Here is a 23,116-nt window from a genome sequence, read left to right as displayed (position 1 = left end):
AGCTGAGGTGGGAGGATTACTTGAGCCTAGGAAGTTGAGGGTGCAGTGAGCTATGATCGTGCCACTGCACTCCTGCCTAGGTGACAGAGTGAGAGCCTGTCTCAAAACAACAAAAAAAAAACAACAACCAAACAACCCAAAAACCCAAACAACAACAAAACAAAAAAACTGACTTTCGTGTATTGACCTGCGTCCTCCAGTCCTACACCTTGCTGAACTTGTTTACTGGCTGTAATAGTTTGTGTGTATGTGGATCCCTTATGATTTTTTACGTATAAGATTATGTCGTCTGTAAACAGGGATAATTTTACTTCTTCCTTTTCAAGCTGGATACGTCTCATTTCTTTTCCTTGCTGAATTGTGCTGGCTAGAACCTCAGGTACAGTGTTTAATAGAATTGGCAAAAACAGGGATTCTTGTCTTGTTCCTAATCTTAGTGGGAAAACTTTCAGACTCTCGCTAAGTTTGTTAGCTTTGGGTTTCTCACAGATGCCCTTAATCAGGATGAGAACATTCCCTTCTATTCCTCTTATCATTATCAAATATCCTTCTTTGTCTGTGGTAAGAATTCTTGTCTTAATGTCTAGGAATAGAAGGGAATGTCCTCATCCTGACTAAGGGCATCTATGAGAAACCCAAAGCTAACTTTTTAAAGTGTTTTTATCGTGAAAGAGTGTTAGTTGTTGCCAAATGCTTTTTCTGTGTCTGTTGAGCTATGTTTTCTCCCCATTATTCTATTAATTTGGTGTATTACATTGATTTTCATATATTGAACCAACTTTGCATTCCTGAAATAAATCCCACTTGGTTATATTGTAAAAGTCTTTGTATGTACTAGTGGCTTGAGTTTATTAGTATTCTGCTGAGGATTTTGTGTCTGTATTCATAACACACATTGGTCTGTAGCTTTCTTGGGTTGTCTTTACACTGGTCTCATACAAGCGGTTGGGAAGTGTTCCCTTCTCCAATTTGTTGTTGAGAGTTTATGAAGGATTTGTGTTATTTTTTTTTAAATGCTTGGTAGACTTCTCTAGTGAAGCCATCTGGTGTTAAGCTTTTCTTTGTGGGAAGTTTTTTGATTACTAATTCAATCTCTTTATCTGTAGATCTATTAATATTTTTTATTTCTTCACGAGTCAGTATTACTAGTTTGTGTTTCTAGGAATTTGTACATTTCATCTAGGTTTTCTAATTTTTTTAGCTTTATTTATTTTTTAACGTTTAGGTTCAGGGGTACATGTGCAGGTTTGTTATAAATTAGGTATCATGGGGGTTTGGTGTACAGATGATTTTGTCACCCAGGTAATAAACATAGTACCTAATAAGTAGTTTTTTGGATTTTGTTTGTTTGTTTTTGTTTTTTTTCTGAGACAGGGTCTTGTTCTGCCACCCAGGCTGGAGTGCAGTGGTGCAATCTCGGCTCACTGCAACCTCCGCCTCCCACGCTCAAGCGCCACCTGCCTCAGCCTCCTGAGTAGCTGGGACTACAGGTACACTCCACCATGACTGGCTAATTTTTGTATTTTTTGTAGAGGGTTTCACCATCTTGCCTAAGCTGGTCTTCAACTCCTGAGCTCAAGCAATCTGCTTGCCTCGGCCTCCCAAAGTGCTGGGATTACAGGCATGAGCCACTGCATCTGGCCAGATAGGTAGTTTTTTTGATCCTCTTTCTCCTCTCACCCTCTGTTCTCAAGTAGGCCCTGGTGTCTGTTGTTCCCTTCTTTATATGCATGTGTACCCAATGTTTGGCTCTCACTTATAAGTGAAACATGGTATTGGGTTTCTGTTTCTGCATTAGGTTGTTTAGGATTATGGCCTCCAGTTCCATCCATGTTGCTGCAGATGACATGATCTTGTTTTTTCATGGCTGCATAGTGTTCCATGGGCATATGTACTACATATTCTTTATTCAGTCTTCTGTTGACAGGCATTAGGCTGATTTTGTGTCTTTGCTATTGTGAATAGTGCTGCGATGAACATACCTGTGCGTGTGTCTTTATGGTAGAATGATGTATATTTCTTTGGGTATACACCCAATAATGGGATTGCTGGGTTGAATGGTACTTCTGTTTTAAGTTCTTTGAGAAATCACCTCCACTGCTTTCCACAATGGCTGAACTAATTTACATTCCCACAAGCAGTGTATAAGCATTCCCTTTTGTCTACAACCTCACCAGCATCTGTTATTTTTTGACTTTTTAATAATAGCCATTCTGACTGGTGGCTTTTCCAATTTGTTGGCTTACAGTTAATCATATATTCTCTTATAGTTATGTTTAGTTTTGGTTGTAATGTTTCCTCTTTCATTCCTAATTTAACTATTTGAGTCTTCTGTCTTTTTTTCTTCATCAGTCTACATAAAGGATTGTCAGTTTTGTCGATCTCTTCAAGGACCCAACTTTTGGTTTTGCTGGCCTTTTTTTTTTTTTATTTTTTTTTACAATTCTCTTTCATTTATTACCAGTCTAATCTATATTAATTCCTGCCTTCTACTTTTTTGGGTTTAGTTTGCTCCTCTTTATCTTAAGGTGGAAAATTGATTTATTAATTTGTTCATTTCTTTTTAAAGAAATTGATAGTTATAGCTATAAACTTCCCTCTAAGCACTACATTAACACATGCCATGATTTTTTGGCATGTTGTATTTTCATTTTCATTCATCTCAAAGAAATTTCTAATTTATCTTGTGATTTTTGTCTTTGACCCATTACTTATTTAAGAGTATGGGCTGGGGCATGGTGGCTCATGCCTGTAATCCTAGCACTTTGGGAGGCCGAGGTGAGCAGATCACTTGAGCTCAGGAGTTTGAGACCAGCCTGAGCAACACAGTGATATCCCATCTCTACAAAACTTTAAAAAATAATTTAGCTGGGCATGGTGGCACACACCTGTAGTCCCAGCTACTTGGGGGGCTGAGAAGGGAGGATTACATGAGCCCCAGAGGTCTAAGCTGCAGTGAGCTGTGATCATGCCATTGCACTCCAGCCTGGGTGCCAGAATAAGACCCTATCTCAAAAAAAAAAAAAAAAGTTGTTTAATTTCCGCATATTTATAAATTTCCTAAATGTCCTTCTGTTATTGATTTCTAATTTTATTTTGTTGTGGTTGGAAAACATATTTTGTATGATTTCAGTCTTAAATTATTGAAGTTATTTTTCCTAAGATAGATCAAGCCTGCAAAATGTTCCATGTGCACTTGATAAGATTGAGTATTCTGCTATTGTTGCGCGGAGTGTTTTGTATAGATGTGTTTGATCTAATTGGTTTATAATGTTGTTGAAGTCCTCTTTCTTTTGTTGAAATTCTGTCAAATTGTATTATCAATTGTTGGAAGTGAGGTATGTCCAACTATTATTATTGAATTGTCTTTTTCTTCCTTCAGTTCTGCCACTTTTATGTATTTGGGGGCTTTGTTGTTAGGCATATGTACGTTTGTAATTGTTATAGCTTCTTGATAGATTGACCCTTTTATCATTATCAAATATCCTTCTTTGTCTGTAGTAAGAATTCTTGTTTTTATGTCTGTTTTGCCTGATATTATTAATAGTATTAAAGCCACTCCAGTTATCTTTTGGTTATTGTTTGCATGGTATATTTATTTAAATCCTTTTACTTCCAACCTATCCATTTATACTTAATGTAATAATTGATAAGATGGGATTTATGTCTGCCATTTTGCTATTTGTTTTCTGTCTGTCTAATGTCTTTTTTCCCTGTTTCCCCATTACTGCATTGTTTTGTACTAAGTAGATCTTTCCTAGTGTATCACTTTTATTCACTTGTTATTTCTTTTATATTTTTTTTTCTTAGCAGTTGCCCTGAGGATTACAATCAGCACCTTGGTTTATAATAATCGTGTTTGGATCAATAACAACTTAATTCCAACTTGATTTATGTGGTTGTCTTTAAATTGGATAAGAGTAAAAAGAGTTACTAACAAAAATGTGTTTATACTTAAAAAAAAAAATCTGTCTAGGTGGTTACCTTTGCCGATGCTCTTCCTTCCTCTGTGTGGATTCTAGCTAGTGTCTAGGATCCTAATTCGGCCTTAAAGACTCCCTTTCGTGTTTCCTTTAGGGCAGGTGTGCTGGGGACGAATGCTCTGTGTCTGTTTATCTGAAAATCTCTTAATTTCTCCTTTACTTTGAAAAGATAATTTTGCTAGTTAAGAATTCTTAGGTGACAGCTTTTGTTCTTTGAGCACTTTGATGCCATCCTGTTGCCTTCTGGCTTCTATTTCTGATGAAAAATGAGCTGTTAATCTTATAGAGCAGTGGTCCCCAACCTTTTTGCCACCAGAGACTGGTTTTGTTGAAGACAATTTTTCGATGGACTGGGGCGGAGGGGAGGCACTGGTTTGGGGATGAAACTGTTCCACCTCTTCATTAGGCATTAGATTCTCATAAGGAGCACACAACCTAGATCCCCTGCGTGCGCAGTTCACAATACGGTTTGAGCTCCTATGAGGATCTGATGCTGCCGGTGATCTGACAGGAGAGGGAACCTGATCAGGCAGTGATGCTCGCCGGGAGCCGCTCACCTTCTGCTGTGTGGCCCAGTTCCCAACGGGGGTTGGGGACCCCTGCTCTAAAGGATCTCTTGTACATCATGAGTTGCTGCTCTCTTCCTGCTTCTAAGATTCTTGGCAGGTCTTGGTGTGCTCTCTCGGAGTTTACTCTACTTGGAATTCGTGGAGCTCTATGGATGTGGAAATTAATGTTTTATGAAATCAGGAAAGTTTTTGCCCATTATTTTTCAAATATCTTTCTGCCTTCCCCCTTTTCAACATTTATATTGTTATGCTTGATATTCTTCCATAGTTCTCGGAGGTCCTGTTTCTTTTTCTTTATTCTTTTTCATTTCCGTTCTTCATACTGAATAATCACTCTTGATTTATCTTTCAGTTCAGCAATTCTTTATATTCTCCCTGCTCAGATCAGCCATTTGCTCTTCTAGGGAATTTTACATTCCAGCTCTTGTACTTTAGAACTCGTGAATTTCTATTTGGTTATTTTTAAAAATAATTTTCATCTCTATATTGATACTCTGTATTCAAGTAGACATCATTCTGAAACTTTTCTTTGCTTCTTCCGGTACGGTTTCTTAAGTTCTTGGAACATATTTAAAACAGCCAATTCAAAGTTTTAGCCTCCTTCAGGGACAGTTTCTATTAATTTTTTTTAATGGGCCATACTTTCTTATTTCTTGGCATGTCTCATTTTTATTGTTGAAAACTAGACCTTTAACAGTATATAACGTGACAGGTGTGGAAATGAGATTCCCCCCTTCCCAGGATTTACTGTTGCTGCTTGTTGTTGTTTGCGTAGTGATTTTTCTGGACCAATCCTGCAAACATCCTCCATTCTCTGTTGTATGTGGCCACGGCAGTCTCTGCCCAGTGCCAGCTGATGACCGGTTACAGATTTCCTTGAACTCCGTGCCTGGAACTCCATGCAGGGAATGAGTGTGCCTCCTGGTCTTTACCCAGTGGCTCTGTGTGCACACTGGGTACATCCAGTCCGGTGCTCACCAGAGCCTCCCCAGCCTTTACCTGCTGCTTGTGCAAAGTGTCCAGGAGGTACAAACTTGGGGCCTTCCTAGGAATTTCCTGAGTGTGTTCCTAGCCATGGGTGTGGCACTATCCATTGGTGGCCTATTAGGTTGGTGCGAAAGTAATTGCAGTTTTTGCTGTCAAAAGTAATAGCAAAAACTGCAATTACTTTCGCACCAACCTAATAGATGCCCAGAGTGTGCGGGAATTTTTCGAAACCCCTGTTGACATCCCCTTCCTCAGCTTTTCCTTTTAAGTGTTTTCATTAGTCTGTTGTTCACCCCAGCTGGTAGCCACTGTGCCTATAATTGTTTTCTACTAACTTCTCCCAGGGCAAAAGGTTTTGCACCAGGTGAACTCCAAGTGGGGTTAAATACAGACAGCCCTCCAAGTGGGGTCTTCCAGGGATCTCCAGATGGGTCAAAAAATAATTCTTTGGGCATGGGGACTTGTAAGAACTCCAGCCTTGTCATGCCCTTCAGGCTGCTGGCTCTCACTGCAGTTGCAGGCTGTCAATTTTCAAGGCTAGGGCAGAGCTGGAGAGGGTAGTGGGACCAGGCATGTTAGAATGTCACCAGCATCTTGAATGTTACAAAGTGATCTTTCTTGCTGAGAGTCAGCAATTTTTCTTGAATGGGTATTCCTGGATGCCTTGAGCCTTTGGTATCAGTAAGAGTTCTGAAAAAGATGATTTTGACAGTTTTTGCTGGGTTTTTTTTAAATTGCTTTTATAGGAGAGAGAATTTTCAGAGGCCCTTTTTTGCTGACTTTAGCCCATATATGTTTGTGCTTTTCTGTATGTTTTGTGCTCACACATGTGCATATTAAACAACAAACTATTGTAAATTGGGGTGCAGGAGGCTGGTGGAGCAGGTGCTGAGTAAGGGCTGTGGGTTGGATGGGACCATGCCGGCCTGGGGCTGGACAGGTGCCTGAGGCTCCTTGGGTGTTAGCGCCATGGGAATCAGGAACTTGGCCCTACAACTTTGTGTCTCCCACTGTAGGGCTGCCAGGCGCCCAGCTGTGCCCAGATGGATGGGACAGAGACCCGGCAGCGGAGGCTGGACAGCTGTGGCAAGCCAGGGGAGCTGGGGCTTCCTCACCCCCTCAGCACAGGAGGACTCCCTGTAGCCTCAGAAGATGGAGCTCTCAGGGCCCCTGAGAGCCAAAGCGTGACCCCCAAGCCACTGGAGACTGAGCCTAGCAGGGAGACCACCTGGTCCATAGGCCTTCAGGTGACCGTGCCCTTCATGTTTGCAGGCCTGGGACTGTCCTGGGCCGGCATGCTTCTGGACTATTTCCAGGTAAGAGGGAACTAAATGGGGACAGGGAGCGGGGCACTGCCGAACATCACCTATAGAGTAGGCAGCTGCATGTAAGGTTGAGCTTAAAGGTTGTCGGGCAGTCCTCTTGAAAAGCCATTTTTTTTTTCTATATATTGGGCAAGATTCTTTTAGTCTCTGGTGACAGAGACTAAATTTAACCCAAGTTAATCTTCAGTAGACAATTTATTAGCCCATATGATTGATGTAGACCAAAATTTACTTAATCATTTCCCTTCTGATGTACTTTGAAGTTTAACAACTGTGTCAGTCAACTACTGCTGCCATAACAAAGTCCCACACACTGGGGTGCTTCAACAACAGACATTTATTTTCACACAGTTCTAGAGGCTGGAAGTCCAAGATCAAGGTGTTGGCAGCATTGGTTTCTCCTGTGGCCTCTCCTTGGCTTGCAGACGGCTGCCTTTTCTCCGTGTCTTCAGGTGATCTTTCCTCTGCATGTCTCTGTCCTAATCCCTCTTCCTAAGAGGACACCCATCAGATTGGGTTAGGGCCCACCCTAATGACCTCATTTTAATTTAATTACCTCTTAAAGGCTGTGTCTCTAATTATAGTCTCATTCTGAGGTACTGGGTGTTAGGACTTCAACATACGAATTTTTGCAGGGACATAATTTAGCCTGTAACCACTTAAAAAACAAATGTTGCAGTGAATCATCTTGACATAAATCATTGTATACATCTCTGAATAAATTGGTAGGATAACTTGTTGCGAGTAGAATTGCTGGGTAAAGAGCATGTGCATTTGTGGCTTTGATGGAGATCACCAAATCATCTGCTTAGTGGTGCGGTGGCCGGGGCGGGGGGCGGGGGGGCGGTCCAACCCACAGACCCTGACCCAGTGACAGATGAGACATGTACATTGACACACATTGACACAGATATTTTGCCTGTCAATCCAGCTAAGGGGCTGTGCTCTGAGTCTGCAGCATCGCCCCATACGCCGGCGAAATTCATATTTATTTAGTACAGATTAAATGACAAAGGCTTTGAGTCAACACACCTGTGGGTAATTAATTTGGTTGCCCTCCACCAGAGAGAGCAGTCCTACAGATGATCAAAGGTTTGTCTTAGGACCGCATGAGTAAACAAGCTATTTAGATAAACTCCCCCACATTCCCTTGTTATTTGCTCTTCTGCTATCAACTCAAGGTAAAGAGGATTAGGCTGCCTTCAGCTAAATCTTTTACTGAAGCTATGCAACACCCCGGCCTTCCAAGAAGGTTTGTGACTATTTCCTATAACTATCTTTATAATTTTTCCCACTACTCTGACTGAACTCCCGCATAGTGGTAGGATGTTGTACTTCCTCCAGTACCACAGGGAAATGCTTGTTCCCAACACTCATCAACACAGGTTTTTTCAACCTTTTTGATCTTTAGTAATCTGCCAGCTGGAAATTGCATTTCATTGTATTAATTTAATTTCTCTTGATGCCTAACAAGTTATCCCAAAACTCACGCGTTATATTAAGCATGTATGTATCCCAATAAAACACACATGGTTCATATGATAGCATGTATTATCTCGTGGTTACTGTGGGTAAAGAATCCAGGTGAAGTTTAGCTGGCTTTTCTGCTTCATGGTCTCTCCTGAGGCTGTGGCACTAGCCCAGCTCACTTAGAGGGTGACATTCCTGGTGGATACTGGACTGCGAGCCTCAGTTCCTCACTGCTGTTGCCCAGAGGCCCCCTCAGGTCCTCTCCATGTGGACATCTCCATCATGGTGCCTGCCTCATCAGGGTACAGTCCAAGACGGAAAAATAGTCTGCTGGCAAGACAGACATCACTGTCCTCTGTAAACTAGTCATAGAAGCAGCATGGCCTTGCTTCTGTTGGTGAGAATCAGGTCACCAGGTTGAGCCACATTTCAGGGGAAGCAATTGGCTAAAAGCATCAGTACCAGGAGGCAGGGTCGGGGGCCTTCCTCCAGGGCTGCTGCCTGCTGTGGTCATTATGGTGTGATCTGTGCTCCTTATTATGAGTGAGACAGGTTGAGGTCTTGATATTTCTATTTATATTCTTTGCTCATTTTTCTATGGGGTGTTTTTCTGTTTTCTTATTGATACCTAGGGGCTTTGTATATATTAAGGAAATTGATCATTTCATTGTGATGTGGATTATAAATGTTTCCTTTTTTTTCCATTTATCTTTTGACTTTGCTTTTGGTGGCTTTTTGCTATGCATTCATTTTTTAAAATGCAGTCTCAGTCATCTTTCTTCTAAGGCTCTGAGCCTATGCCTTCCTTAGAAACAGAAGCTGCTTTTTATACAGGTGCCCATCTGCCCATGTGCGTGCACAGGGCAGCACATATTAGAGACTAGGGATGTGTTCCCATGAAGAAGAAAAACTCTCTGCTACAAGTCTGCTTTCTTTTCATTGCATATATGAGAGGTTCAAAGTGGGTGTACACAGCTGTCGTGCTGGTCTGCATCGGTTTGTTGGCTGGTTAGTGTTCAGTTCAGTGCAAACATTTCAAAACTGGAAGCTTTTCATTAAAGTGCTTATATTCAGCTCCTCTTTAAAACTCAGAAGATTTGGCAACATGTGGTTTTTGTATCAGTTTTATATCGCTGTGTTCCACATTACCACAAATTTAACAGCTTAAAACAGCACGCATTGATTAGCTCATAGTTCTGTAAGGCAGAGGGCAGGCATGGTATGGCTGGGATCTCTGCTCAGGGTCTCAACAGCTGAAATCCACGTGCTGGCCAGGATGCATTCTCTTCATGAGGCTCTGGGGGAACATCCACTTCTAAGCATAGTCCTGTCTTCAGAACTCACCTCCTGGTGCTGGGTTCCTCCCTGAGGTTGAAGGACTGCAGTTCCATTTCCTTGCTGGCTATCAGCCAGGGGCTGCACTTCACTTCTCGAGGCCACTCCTACGTCTTGCCTTGTGGCCCTTCCATCTTCAAAGGCAGCAGTGGAGAAACCTCCCTTGGGTGAAATCCCTCTCTGACTTCAGGAAGCACCTGCTCCCTTTAAAGGGTTTACCTGATGACGCCAAGCTCCTCCAAGTTAATCTTTCTGAAATTCCACCAGGACTCCTCACTGGAATGCGTGGAGCAGGCAGGAATGGCAGCAGTCTCCAGAAACTGATGCAGTCCTGGGCTCTGTGGGTGGACTGGGATGAGCATTGTGTGCATGTGCCGGGAAGAACGGGGGTCTCCAGGCAAGCTATGGCCTTACAGAGACACCGAGCGGTCTAGAAAGGCCAGGAGGGCAAGAGGGCTGGCTGGAGGGGTGTTTCATGTGGGCAGAGAGAGAAGACTGGGGGTGCGGGAGGAGGTGAGAGCAGCCTGTTTTAATTGCCTCCTCTTTACTCTGCTGGTGAGGGTGGGGAGTCCTGCCCTAGGGTTATGGGGATGGTGGACACTCAACACCTGGCTCTGGACAGGTGAGGACCACGGCAATTTGTTAGTCCTCATACCAGTCACCCAGGCAGGAGGATGCTGCACACCTTGCGGGGCCACTGGGGAGCAGAGTGAGTCAGCAGGGGATGTGGGGGGCAAGATTTGTCATAACAAGAGAGTGGGAAACCTGCCCTCCATTCCTGACTATATGCGTAATTCCACAGGGTGGCAGAAACTGAAGCGTGCTCCTCGGGGATGTGGAGGGACAGTTCCTGCCCTGAGATAAGGAGGCTCTTGGGCTGGGAACCTCATCCACAGGAGCAGAGTCAGGAGGGGAACGCGCCGCTCACATTATCTTGCTTTCTCCAGGTGTTGAGGCCGCACTTCGTAGTTTTAGGCCTTACCCCACCATTGACCCCTTGATGCCTCGATGCCAGCTTAAGTCTTGGTGGTGACTGAGACTTCCAGGGAATAGAAGAGCCTCTCCAGGAAGCAGCACAGACCCTTGGCCAGGAGGGAGAGTACCATGTGGTGCTCTTGTCCAGGAAGGGCAACAGAGGGATTTGGTGGCCTGGGTATGGGGAGTGTGTGTCCCCGGGGGGGGGTTGGATCTGGCTTAATCAGTGCCTGTGACAGTGGTGACACCCAGTGGAGGTCACCTTGCCACCTGTCACTTCATCGGAGTTGAAGTGAGGGGCCCATGTGCCTCCTGCTAACCCTGGCTGCCTGTGGCCCACCCAGGAAGTAGAGGCTCCACTGGGTGCTTCCTGCAGAGCTGGTGCTCTATATTTCAAGAAGGAAATGAGGGCCTTGGCCACCGTCGGCCATGTCTGAACTTTAGAGAGGATCAGGAGTGACTGGCTGAGGCCTTGTGTGTGGCTGTAGTATATGTGTAGGCATTTGTTACCCTGTTTTATGTTTTGTGTGTCAGTGAGGCAGGAAATTCCCAGAGCTCTCTACCCCCAAGTGGGGCATCTTTGAGGCTCTGGGCCAAGAGCCTGTGCCCAGGTGCAGAGGGAGCTGCCAGCAGGCCAGGGCGCCTATGCTGTTGATTGCCTGATGCTTGGCCACTGCGCTGACCCTTAGAGGTTTGCTCTTTATCAGGGACTTCCTGGTTAAGATGGGAAGCAGCAGCCTTCCCCTGAGCTCCCTTGCATATTACACGGCAGCACCCACCGTGAAGCCTATAGCTCCCACCGTGAATGGCCAGCCCATCTCAAGGGGCCTTGGGTAGCCAAGAGGCCCAGGGAGGGGTGACTCCTCTGGCACCATGGCGTCTGGCAAAGGACTGAGGACAGGGGAGACCACCCCTCCTGCAGGTGGCATATGCCAGAGAGCCCAGGTTTGGCTCCATTCTATTTTTAAGGAGACCTCAGTAGCTGTACTGAGCTTGGGGGTGCCACATGTGAAGGCATAATGGGCAGTGGGAATGGAGGGTCACAGGCACAACGTCTGTGAGAACCTATGCTTCCAGGAGAGCCCAGCATGTGTCCAGCAGCTACTCCTCTGATGGTGCACAGTGCAGGGTGGAGGAGAGCATTTCCCTGGATCCGCAGCCCCTAGACAACTTACGGCCATCAGCCTGTAGACTCCAGGGCTTGAGGGGAGGTTGCTAATGCCCCTCTCTTCCATGAAGGCGTTTCTGGGGGCACTAATAAGAGTAACTGCTGATATTAACTTGGGCAGATCCTAGAACCTTTTGTTGGAGTGGCCTGTTTGAGTTGGCTTGCTTTGCAGATGACAGCATAAATGGGCGTAAGTAAAATTTGTAGATGAGAAATATGTTGCTTCCAAAACCCAAAAAGAACTAAAAGATATTGGAGACTTGTATTAATGTTGTGGATGCTGAGAAGGTTAATACTTCTTTTGTTGCAGTGTTGGGGACGGCTCTCAGTTTACCAAGTAATTTTCAGGCATTTAACCAAGGTGCCAGGCCTCGCACCACATGTAGGGTGATGGCCCCCTCTCTCATTGTGAGTGCCTTTGTGAGTTACTTGTATGCCCTTAATGAGTGTGTCAAAAGAGCCTCTGCGGAGGAGGGCATCATCAGTGTAATGTAACTGTGCTCCTGAGAAAGGCAGATGCAGGGGAGACCTTGGCCGCATGACTGTGTGTGATGGCAGAGCTGCGGAGGTCCCTGTGGGGAGCCTGGAAAAGGTATCTAGTGTCCCTTTAGAGGTGAAGGCCAACTGTGTCTGAGAGGCTGGTGAAATAGGCACTGAACAGAATGTATTAGCCAAGTCTATAGCAGCAAAGTACCAGTTGATTTGGATGGAGTCAGTGATTTCAATAATATTCGGTATTGGATGTGGGGGTCTGAATGGACAGGGTCATGCCATTAAGGTGGTGGTAATCCACCAGGAGGCACCCTTTTGTTCTCCCCAGGTTTAGGAATGAGCCATATTGGCCTGTGTAAAGGAGAAGCAGGAGGATTGACATACCCTGTTTAAGTCTCACATAATAAATTTCCCTCCTTGAAGGTCCTGTTGTAATTTGCATTGGGTAGTATTAACTGTTTTAATGGTGAGCAGGGGAGGGTCTGTGGAGTCTCATCTTGTCAAGCCAATTTGTAAGTCAGACCAGGTGGCAGGAGTGCCAGGGAGCACCCACCAGCCCCACACCAGCCTGTAGTCAGTTAACAGTGGTTCTCGTCATGGGGGCGAAAATAACCCTTTAGGGTGGGAGGAGATGACAGAGCCCAAGAGAGACAGCAGAGGTTCAAGCCAGCAATTTGCAGTTGCATCCCAACTGGCTGTGTGGGCTTGTTAGCAAGCAAAGAACAGGCAGGGAGAGCTGGCCAGGTGTCCTCAGTCACGGTGGGCCCATCTGTTTGTGAGCCTGTTGTTATGGTCACCTCCTCTTCACCTCATCAATGAGGGAGGGGGTCTCACCCTTGGGTTAAGGGTATGGTGGACCCTTGACACCCAGCCCTGGACAGGTGAGGGCCACAGCAGTTCGTTCATTCATTCATTCATTCACTCATTCAGGCAGCATATACTGTGTACCTGTGCCAGGCAGACACCCCTGCCCTCATGCCGCTCACACAGCAGGTTCTGGGGTCAACGTTGATAGCAATGAGGGCTGTGTGCTCCAGCAAGTGGTGGGAGCGGCCCTGCGGAGGGAGGCCAAGAAGATCCCCCTTCCCCAGGAGGAGGTGTTGCAGGGGAGGCAAGAGAGGCTGCTTGGAGACAGTGTGGGAGCAGGCCAGCCTGGCAGGGGGTGGACAAGTCTTTCATCTTCACCTGTGGGTGGGTTCTGCCAGTCGAGATCAGAAGCAGAAAATAAAGAAGAACCTTAACAGTTATTTAAAATTTAATTGGCCTGATCTGTGAGACCTGAACAAGATGGGGGAAGAATTCATGCCTGTAAGAATGACCATCTGGCCCAGAACCTGCCGAGGGTCAAGGTGACCCTGAGAAATGAATTGGATGCTGCGTTGGAAACTGCTCCTGGTAAACAAGCAGTTCCCACTGCAGTGTCAGAAATGTACTCCAGAGCCCCTGCCCACACTCTGTGGACCCTCCCCTAAAAACACACCCCAGTAAGAACGAGGTGGTGGGCAGAGATCAGTGGTCCTCAACGTTCTGATCCTGTGGTCTTTGTGGAGCCTGGGCGGCCTGTTGCAGAAGCTCCTCAGGTGGTCCTGGTGCCCCTGATGGGTGAGCACCACTGATCTTGTGCCACTTGCTCATGCTGTGGGCTGTGGGGTGGGTTGGAGGCCCAGAGAAGGTCACACAGAAACCGCTGGACCCGGCTTCCACCTGCTGCTCCGTGCAGCTGGAATCTAGTTCAAGCTCTTTGAGATTCTTCTGCTGTGCTACTGAGCTATTTTTAAAACCACACTTTTGATTTTCTGGATTATAACCCAGTGAGCTGTGTTGACATGTTTTCTTCTCAGGTTTTCACAGGAAAGTCATTTTTCTTATATAGTTACATTATTTGCTTTTGATAGTTTTTTATTTATAAAAGCAAATAGTCACAATTGTCAGAATAGACAAAAAATTATAAAGATTACTTATGAACCCACCACCCAAAGGCAACTACTGTTAACATTTTGGTATATATCCTTCTGAACGTTTCACTGTGCATGCACGTGTGTGTGTGTGTGTGTGTGTATCCTTCTCACTTTTTTTTTGAGACAGAGTTTTGCTCTTGTTTTCCAGGCTGGAGTGCAATGGCATGATCTCAGCTCACCGCAACCTCCGCCTCCCAGGTTCAAGTGATTCTGGTGCCTCAGCCTCCCGAGTAGCTGGGATTACAGGCATGCGCCACCACGCCCAGCTAATTTTTGTATTATTAGTAGAGACGGGGTTTCTCCATACTGGTCAGGCTGGTCTCGAACTCCCGACCTCAGGTGATCTGCCCGCCTCAGCCTCCCAAAGTGCTGGGATTACAGGCATTAGCCACCGCACCCGGTCTCTCACTCAATTTTTAAACAGATTTGAGAAACATTTTTGTAATGATTTGTAACTACTTGGTCAGACACCTCTTTCTATATGAGAGTCTGCAAATGGTTGTTTATTTCTGCGTCTCCTGTGCTGATGAGGGTGGTTCCAGGATTCACTGTGTATGATTATACGTTGTGTGATGATGTTTGACCACGTCCGAAACTATGATGACACTGTGAGAGGTGGTGACACCTGAAGGAAGTGATCACCTGTTTGGGGGCTGCTCAGCTGTATGCCTTGGGAATGTGCATCCCACAACAGGCCTTGAGCAGCCAGGGAAACTAGGCCAGCCTTAAAGACAGAGGACTCTGTCTTTAACCAGGTGATGCCTTTAAACCAGTAACCTTCTGCAACACTTCTCTCAGAATCAGGCCATTTCTCTCTGCCTCCTGCCGGTTCAATCTCCTGTTTGAACAAACTGATCCTAACCATGGATGACGGGCAGTGATGGGGTTGGCAGGCAGCCCAGAAGCTGAGGGTCTCGGCCTGCCTTTGACACTAACTTGCTGTGTGATCTTGGGAAACTGTTCATTTTCTTCATTTGCAAAACAGAATGCTATAGTTCCTGTGAACATCCCAGGGCTGTTGTGAAAATGATAGAATGTGAGAGAGCTCTGAGAAATACAGAGTGCTGCACAAGGGAACAAATGGGCACTCCTTCATCCAATTGCAGTGACTGAGTGTTACGGGCATTCCTTCATTCATTTGCAGTGACTGTTTGCGTGTGGCCGAGTCTGCTCTGTGCCCTTGTTATGCCCTGGGTTTGCTTCAGAGCACTTATCACAGATCATCCTTCCTTTCTTTCTTTCTTTCTTTCTTTCTTTCTTTCTTTCTTTCTTTCTTCTTTCTTTCTTTCTTTCTTTCTTTCTTTCTCTTTCTTTCTTTTTTGACTGATAACCTGTGTTTGTTCTGCTCGCAGTGTACCCTGGCATTTAGGGCGGAGGCTGGCAATTACTAGGCCCTAAGTACTGATCTGTGGAATGGAGCCATGGAGAAGCCCCAAGATTGCAGCAGTGAGAAGGGCTCTGTTCTCAGGAGGGGTGCGTGCCAGGGAGGGAGAGCAGATACACCTGCATTTTATGCTTCTGTTATGCAAAAGTGGGACCTGTCTTCAGGAAGGTTCAGAGAGTACGTTGGGAATTCTGGGGAAAGAGCTGTTAGGCTCTGGCTGAGAGGAGGTGCCTCAGCTGGCCATGAGGCCTGGCAGACGTTTGGCCTGGGTGATGTGTTGGCCTGCAGCAGAGGGGAGGAGCACGGGCATGGCCCCCGTGAGGGTCATGAGAAGTTCTGTCTGCAGCTGCAGCATATGACCATGTACTTGCAAGAAGGAGGCTCACGTGGATGTGTCTTTCCAGATTGCAAGGGGTCCGGATGCTCCTTTCTCAGGCAGTGTGTTGACCACACACTGTGTGAGCAAGGGCCATCCTCACAGTGCACCTGTGGGTTGTGCCTGTGAAGAGCACACAGTGGTTTTGTGAGGAGACAGATTAGAGGGACAAAGGGCCGTGGTGAAGGCAGCGTCTGTGGGCAGGAGTGGGGGACAGCTGTGGGAGAGGTGTGGGGACAGGCAGAGTGGATGTGGGACTGAGATGGTAGGGGCTCCGAGTGAGGCTTGCATTTCTGGCTGCACCTTTCCTTGAGGCAGGCCACTTGGGAGAGGCAGGCTTGGAAGTGGCAGTCCTGAGAGACTGGTGGAGTGAGATACATGCTCATCCCTACCAGAGCCTGGGTATATGATCTGAAAGCTCAGAGGAGAGGTCTGGGCTGTGAGAGGTTTGGGAGTTGCTACATCTGAAATAGCGAGATCACGGATGAGGAAGAGATTCCCCAAATGCAGTTAACTACGGCTATGTAACGAAGGACACCCAAGCTTAGCAGTTTGTTTAAAGCCAATTATTGTTTGATGCGGAATCTACAGGTTGGGCAGGGCCCGGTGAGAAGAACCGCCTGCTCTGCGTGCGTGGTGGCTGTTGGGCCAGCCCAAGACGGCCCACTCATGTGCAAGGCTGGGCTGTGAGCAGGACCCTGGCATACGGCCTCTATGTGTGACCACGTGGTCTTCCTCACAGCAGAGTGGCTGGGAGCATGAGCAGCCCAAGAGATAGGACATAGAAGTTGTCAGTTTCTTAAGATCCATGCCTAGAAACTGACTACCACAGCGTCTCTTCCACTTTGTTCTCTCGGTTAAGCTGTGGGGACAGAGGGAAGAGGGGGTCAGAAACTCTAGCTCTCAGTGGGAATTGTGCTGGAGTTTAGGGCCAGTTATGCATTGCTCCTATGAGGGGCTTAAAAATATCTGTTGAATGAATGAGTAAATGAAGGGTGTGCACAAAGACGCAGTGCAAGAAATATTGGGGGCACGAGGGGAACAGGTGCTGGAGAAATTCGTCTGGAGTTCGGTTGCAGGGACAGCCTTGGGGAGGCCGGTAGGATCCACACTGGGGAGGGCAGTGGACTCCAGGCTGGGGTCTGCACTTAAGCCTGGGATAGTCCGACGGGAGAACCAGGTAACGTGCCCACTAGGGCGACAGTTTAGGGATGGGAGTGGAAGTGAGGCCTAGACCCGACCACAGTGCTGGGTTCAGCTGGTGTGAGTCTGACCCCCAGCTTCGGGCTTCTGCCTGCCCCAGCCTGCCCTCAGGCCTGAACATTCTGTTCCTGGTGCCTGTGGAATGCGCAGAGGACACACCCAACAACAGAACCCCAGGAGTCAGAGGTGGCTTCCCAGCCCCTTCTCCTTCTCTGGGTGAGGAGGGGTCAGCAGGGCCAGTCTGACATTTGTAGCTGAAGAAAGCGAGGCCACTTTGGAAGCATGTTTATGAGTCTTCCAGGCCATGGAGGGAGAACAGGCCTGCGTTTTTTTCTGTGAACACAGCTTCCTGTGGCCATGAACCCCCTGGCTGGACACAACTTGAGATGACCCAGGGCGTGGCTTCCTGCTTGGGGACCCATAGACTGCTTGACCTTGAGGAATAAAACTCGAGGTCTGTAGAGCTGGCCTGAGGAGGCAGTCCCTCTGTGCTGATCTCTCCCCAGGCCCTCCTCTGCCAGGAGGGGAACAGCCCAGCACACTTGTACAGGGCGAGGTGGCAGCAGACCTCCGTGTGGGCACTCACCAAGGCCAGGCACCACGTGGGCTTCAGCTCTGTCCAGCCCAAGCCAGTATGGACCAGCCTGCTGGGCTGCTGATTGCTGTCAAGGCCGGTGCAGAGGGACCATGAGCCTCCATGGCAGACTGGCAGAGGGAGGTCCCGGCGGACACACAGCCACTGTCTGAGGAGAGCCTGACCTTCAGGGAGGGACAGCAGGGCCTGGCAGAGTCTCTGTAATGAGGCCGTGAGTCACACTGGCCTTTGTTCCTCACTCATCTGTGCTGGCCCTCAGCCGAGGGGCTGTTGGGGAACTCTCTGCAGGCACAGGGCACCTGGTGACTGGGAAGCTTCTGTTTGTGTGGACTTCTTGGGAACAGCGTCCTGGTGTGGGCCAGGAGGAGAGGACTGGAGCACCCCAGGCTCTGACTTCGTGCTCCTGGGATCGTGGTGCATTGCCTGGCCATGGTGGTCACCCAGCTGAATCTGGAGTTTTGCTTTCAGGGCAAGAAGCTGCGAGGCTTCAGCTGTGAGCTTACCCGGTCCCCACATGGGGTCTTGCCTGAATCTTTCTTCACCATCATGTGCCAGGTCGTGGTGCCCATTCTGCTGTCCGGCTTGTGCATGATGACAGCCGGCCTGGTGATGAACACCATTCAAGTGCGTACTGGGTGTTTGGGGGATCAGGGGTGGGAGACACACAGACTGGGTCTCCTGGCACCACAGACAGGGCAGGCTGGAGACATGAGGGGCCTCTACAGTGGGAGGGCAGCCCTCAACCTGCCCTTGCTGCTTGGGCGTCCCGGGTGTCAGCGAGGCTGGCAGGAGGGACCTCCAACGCTGAGACCTCAGCATTAGAGATTCGCAGAATGATGGAGGTTTGTCAGAACCTTAGCCTGCATGTGCCTCCTCAGCCCAAGGAGCTCAAACCGCCTTCCTCCCAGTGTATGTGGGCTCAGGAGGCAGAGTCTGCCACTCACCAGTGGAGGGGATTTTTAGTCACACTGTTCTGCCTTGATTTCCCCATCTGTAAAATGGGGATAATGAAAGCCCTCACCTCACAGAATTGTGAGGACCAGATGACTGAGTCTGTATGCTGTGGTCCCTGTGGGCAGAGCTGCAGTGTGCCCAGCCCGCAGCATCCTGGCGTGGCCCCTGGTAAAAAAGGACAAGGTTTGCAGCCCTGGGGGTGCAGGTGGGAGGGCCATGGCGGTCTCCCTGCAGTGGAGGCGTGTGCTGAGGGAGATTTGCTTATCACAGTCTGTTTCTCCCCTAGCATGGTTTGGGCAGCGTATTGGAATCATTGAGAGGTTTGTGCTATCTGTCAACTGAAACATTTCGTAGAGTCAGTTTAGAAAAATTGGAAAATACACCCAAGCAATGGAGGAAGGCTGTCCCTTCATCTCTATCACCGCTGCTGTGGACCTTTCAAGACAATTTTCTATGTACATATAAACATATACATATATGGTTTATAGTATGCAGTTTTGCTTTTTGTTTTTTTGAGACAGAGTCTTGCCCTGTCGCCCAGGCTGGAATGCAATGGCGTGATCTCGGCTCACTGCAACCTCCGCCTCCTGGGTTCAAATGATTCTCCTGCCTCAGCTCCCAAGTAGCTGGGATTACAGGTGCCCGCCACCAGGCCCAGCTAATTTTTTTGTATTTTTAGTAGAGACGGGGTTTCACCATGTTGGCCAGGCTGGTCTCGAACTCCTGACCTCGTGATCCACCCACCTCAGCCTCCCAAAGTGCTGGGATTACAGGTGTGAGCCACCGTGCCTGGCCTGCAGTTTTGCTTTTTAATCTGTAAATATAAATTTAAAATTTCAACCCATGAGGACACCCCAAGTAGCATTTCATGTTCCCGAGTGTATGCAGCACCTCCTTCCTAATGGCCACTCAGAGTCTTTCTGTGCCCCTGGGTCCAAGTTGGAGAGGGGCAGTCTGTACCCACCAGGCCACCCAGCCTCCTAATCTGAGCTCACGATGCCTCCCAGGTGGCTTCTGCTTGCTCGTCTCAGTTGATGGGACGCTCATCCCCTTTTGGGGCTGGGGTGGCCTTTTGCATCCTGGCCAGCCCCCCATTAGAAAGCCTGTGCTTCTGTGGGCTTGCAACCTGAATACCCACTTGTTCCCCCAATAGCCTCATCCTAGAGCTGTGCTGAGAGCTTGTCGCTCCTTCCCTGAGACCACCCTGCTGATGCTGGGGAGAGAGACTATTAGGCGTTCCGGAGGGCTGGGCAGGGAGTGGAGGCCACAAGGAGGTGTTTGCCTGTGAAGGAAGAGGGAGCAGTCATTCTTCCTAGGGGCCAGGGGATCTGCAGAGGAGCAGGACAATTTGATTTGGACTTTAAAGGTAATGTAGCAATTTCCAGGATGCCCTGAAAAGACGTGAACATTCCAAGCAGAGGGATTTGTGTGCAAAGATACAGGTGAATGATAGTGTGCATTTGTGGAAAGTGAGAGACAGGGGTGGCCGCTGTCATGGGGACAGTGATACTGGGCAGGAGTGAGGGGCTCTGTCTACTCTGCTCAGAGGGTGTGCCGTGCACTGAGTGTAGCAGGTGTTTGCTTTATGTTAAAATGAGTGTCTTGCTGGTTTTATTGAAGGGTAGCATAGACACGTAGGAGAGCACACAACTGTGCAGCTCCATGGACCACCTCAAGGTACAGGGGCCTTTGCAGCCCCACCTGGGGCATCCTCAGCAGAGCCCCAGCAGAGTCCTCTGTGCTTAGTCATCTCAGCCCCACCTCTGACTCCAGTGCTGTGGGTTTGCGTTGACTGTTCTTGACATATGCCTGTGTGTCTTTGGGGTTCATAGGACTTATGTGTTAGGTATACTCAGGAGAGGAGTTGGCAGTGAAGGGTTACAGGTGGCTGAGTGATGGGGTCATATTTGTGCCACAAAACCCACCCCAGACAGTGGTGTCAAAGATGACCCCGAGGGTGAGGCCGGAGGAGCAGGGGAGAGCTGGGGGACTGTGGGCAGAGTTCAGAGCCCCTCAAGTGCAAGAATCATTATTTCTGATGATTTCAGCCTCCCCAATGACTGATATAGGCATCTTTACAGTGTTGCTGGAGAGGGCGGTGGCAGAATTTAAAAGTTGTGATGACTTGAATGTCAGATTGGGGAAAAGAAGGTGTTGAGTCCTGGCTGGCAGAGCAGGAAGGACACGGGTGGCAAGGAGAAGTTTGGAGATTTGGAGTTTGAGGTGCTTGTGGGGTGTCCAAAGTTCAGCCAGAGTTGGATGGGCAGATCTGATGCTCACAGAGACTTCTGAGTCATAGACACTGGGAGGCACCCACACAAGCCCAGGGTATCAGTCAGTGTATTTGCTATTGGCTGCAGGTAACAGGAAACCTAACTCAAAGGGACTTTAAAAACAAAGACACTGATTATCTCTGTAAAGAAGTCTAGAGATAGGACAGTGCCAGAATTGGTTAGGTAAAAACAAAGACACTGATTATCTCTGTAAAGAAGTCTAGAGATAGGACAGTGCCAGAATTGGTTAGTTACTGGATTAACAGTGTCACCCAGTATTTTTTCACTTTACATTTGTATTAGTTTGCTAGGACTGCCATCACAAAATACCACAGAGGAGGTAGCTTAAACAATAGAAACTGATTTTTTTCCGCAGTTCCAGAGGCTGGAAGTCTGAGATGAAAGTGTTGGCAGGGTTGGTTTTTGAGCTTTGCAGATGGCCCTGTGTCTTCACATGGTCTCCCCTCTGTGCATGTCTAGGTCCTAATTTCCTCCTCTAATGAGGATGCCACGCATACTGGGCTAGGACCCACCCTCATGACTGCATTTCAACTTAATTATCTCATTAAAGACAGTCTCTCCAAATACAGTCATGTTTTGGTACTAGGCATGAGGACTTCACCATACGAGTTTTGGGGGACACAGTTCAGCCAGTGTCCATAGACTTTAGTCCCGTCACGGTTGTGTGATACCCGATGTGACCAGACAGGACTTCTCAGGTCTCACTGACCAGTCATAGCAACGTCTGGCAAGGAGGATGGGACCACTATGCATCAGGATTCAGCTTCCCCCGCCGTCTTCCGCCCAGGCTTCCTGCTGAAAGCCCCGGGAGCATGGAGCAGGTGGGGTGTCTGCTGGAAGATAGTGCTGTGTGCACAGTGGAAGGGTACTCGAGCTGCGGAAGGGAGAGGGTGTGAGGAGAAAGGAGAACTGAAAAGAAAGCAGGAAGGAAGATCGGTATTAACATGGTCAGGAGGAAGAAGAGGGGCCGAGATGGGGTGGATAGTGAGGTTGGCAAAGGACTGGGGGTGGAGGCCCAGAGGCCAGGGGAGAGGGTACAGAGCTGTGCCTGTCAGCAGGTGCTTTATCCGTGGAGGGGAGGACAGTGCCACCCTGCAGGGAGAGCAGCAGATGGGGCTTACCCATCAGGAGGCCACCACTTCCTTTAGGGAGACGGTGAGAGCCATAGAGTTGCAGCACTGAGGGTGATGGGTGAGAACAGGCACTTGTTCAGAGGTAGTAGTGCTCAGAGAGCAGGAGGAAGGCTGCTGGGTGGCGCAGGCTGAAAGGAGGAGTTTGCTGTGACTTTGGGGTTGGTAGGTGCCGGGTCTTGGGTATAGACAGAGAGAGTGCCCATGAGCACGCTGGGCTCCACAGGACGTTAGGGAGGGTGTGGGTGGTGGTGCCCAAAGGCCAGCTGGGGAGTACTTGATGATGGCCTTGGTTCCCCTGCTGAGGACGGAGGCCCACCCTATGTGGAGGGTGTGCAGGCTGAGAGGACAGCTGCACAGAGCTGTGGCCAGATGCCACCAGGAGACTGTGAGGTGTGGGAGGACACCCTGCCTGGTGGCATTGTTTTCTTCTCAAGTTTTAAGAGAGGGCAAACTCAGAACTCCATCAGAGCTGGAACTGGATTCTGAATTCCACAGCCTGGTAGATAAGGTACAGGAAGAAACTAAACAGTGCTCATCTTCCTTGGTCTGAGAGCAGAAAGGAGTCTTAAAGGGCCTCTGGTCTGATCTCTTCACCTTCACGCCTGGTCAAGCCTGTTGCTGGGCAGCTTATGGATGACTGTCCAAGTCCCTAGGGGCTGGGTGGATTTGCACATCTTTACACAGCTCTTGCCTTGTAGGGGATGGACAGGGCCTAGATCCCAGGCCGCCTTTCTCCTTGATGACGAAGCAGGGATTTGTTTCCAGGTCTAGAATTCCAAAACCAGGAGAAGCTTCTAGTGTTAGGCGTCAAAGATCTCAGCAGCAGCCAGACAGGCAAAATAAATCAGTAGGATCAGGTGGGGCATTAAAACTGATTTAGGGGAACATCTAATTGCACATTAAACAGTTAAGAAT

At 48.0% G+C, this 23,116-nt stretch overlaps 1 protein-coding gene and 1 long non-coding RNA gene across 28 annotated transcripts in view, besides 1 other annotated feature; one reads left to right on the top strand and one right to left on the bottom strand.

Annotated features, from left to right (window-relative positions):
- The window catches only part of SLC41A3 (solute carrier family 41 member 3), a 95,164-nt gene that overhangs the window by 26,719 nt on the left and 45,329 nt on the right, over positions 1-23,116 (top strand). For 20 of the 27 annotated variants that reach the window (XM_005247563.3, XM_017006707.2, XM_047448404.1 and 17 more), the window contains exon 2: positions 6,556-6,855. The exons of 1 other annotated variant lie outside the window; for it this stretch is intronic. In XM_005247563.3, the coding sequence (XP_005247620.1) occupies positions 6,583-6,855 (273 nt within the window). In that variant the 5' untranslated portion in view covers positions 6,556-6,582. Of the gene's footprint in view, positions 1-6,555; positions 6,856-17,433; positions 18,445-23,116 lie in introns of those variants that run through there. 6 more of the 27 variants (XM_005247565.3, NM_001008487.2, XM_011512945.2 and 3 more) reach the window with 3 other exon arrangements.
- Positions 15,471-15,970: an enhancer, noted in NCBI's record as "H3K4me1 hESC enhancer chr3:125777675-125778174 (GRCh37/hg19 assembly coordinates)". NCBI's record gives its function as "activates a minimal SCP1, AML or CMV promoter by ChIP-STARR-seq in primed H9 embryonic stem cells {active_cell/tissue: H9 hESC(primed)}" and the evidence as "EXISTENCE:reporter gene assay evidence [ECO:0000049][PMID:30033119]".
- Positions 16,574-17,981, bottom strand: LOC124909425 (uncharacterized). The gene is made up of 2 exons (XR_007096055.1): positions 17,812-17,981; positions 16,574-16,884 (listed from the first exon to the last, which is right to left on the bottom strand). It is a non-coding gene; the product is annotated as an uncharacterized LOC124909425 (long non-coding RNA).

This window comes from Homo sapiens, chromosome 3 (genome assembly GCF_000001405.40).
Source record: "Homo sapiens chromosome 3, GRCh38.p14 Primary Assembly".
Lineage (NCBI taxonomy): Eukaryota > Metazoa > Chordata > Mammalia > Primates > Hominidae > Homo > Homo sapiens.
This window is presented reverse-complemented; position numbering and strand designations above follow the sequence as displayed.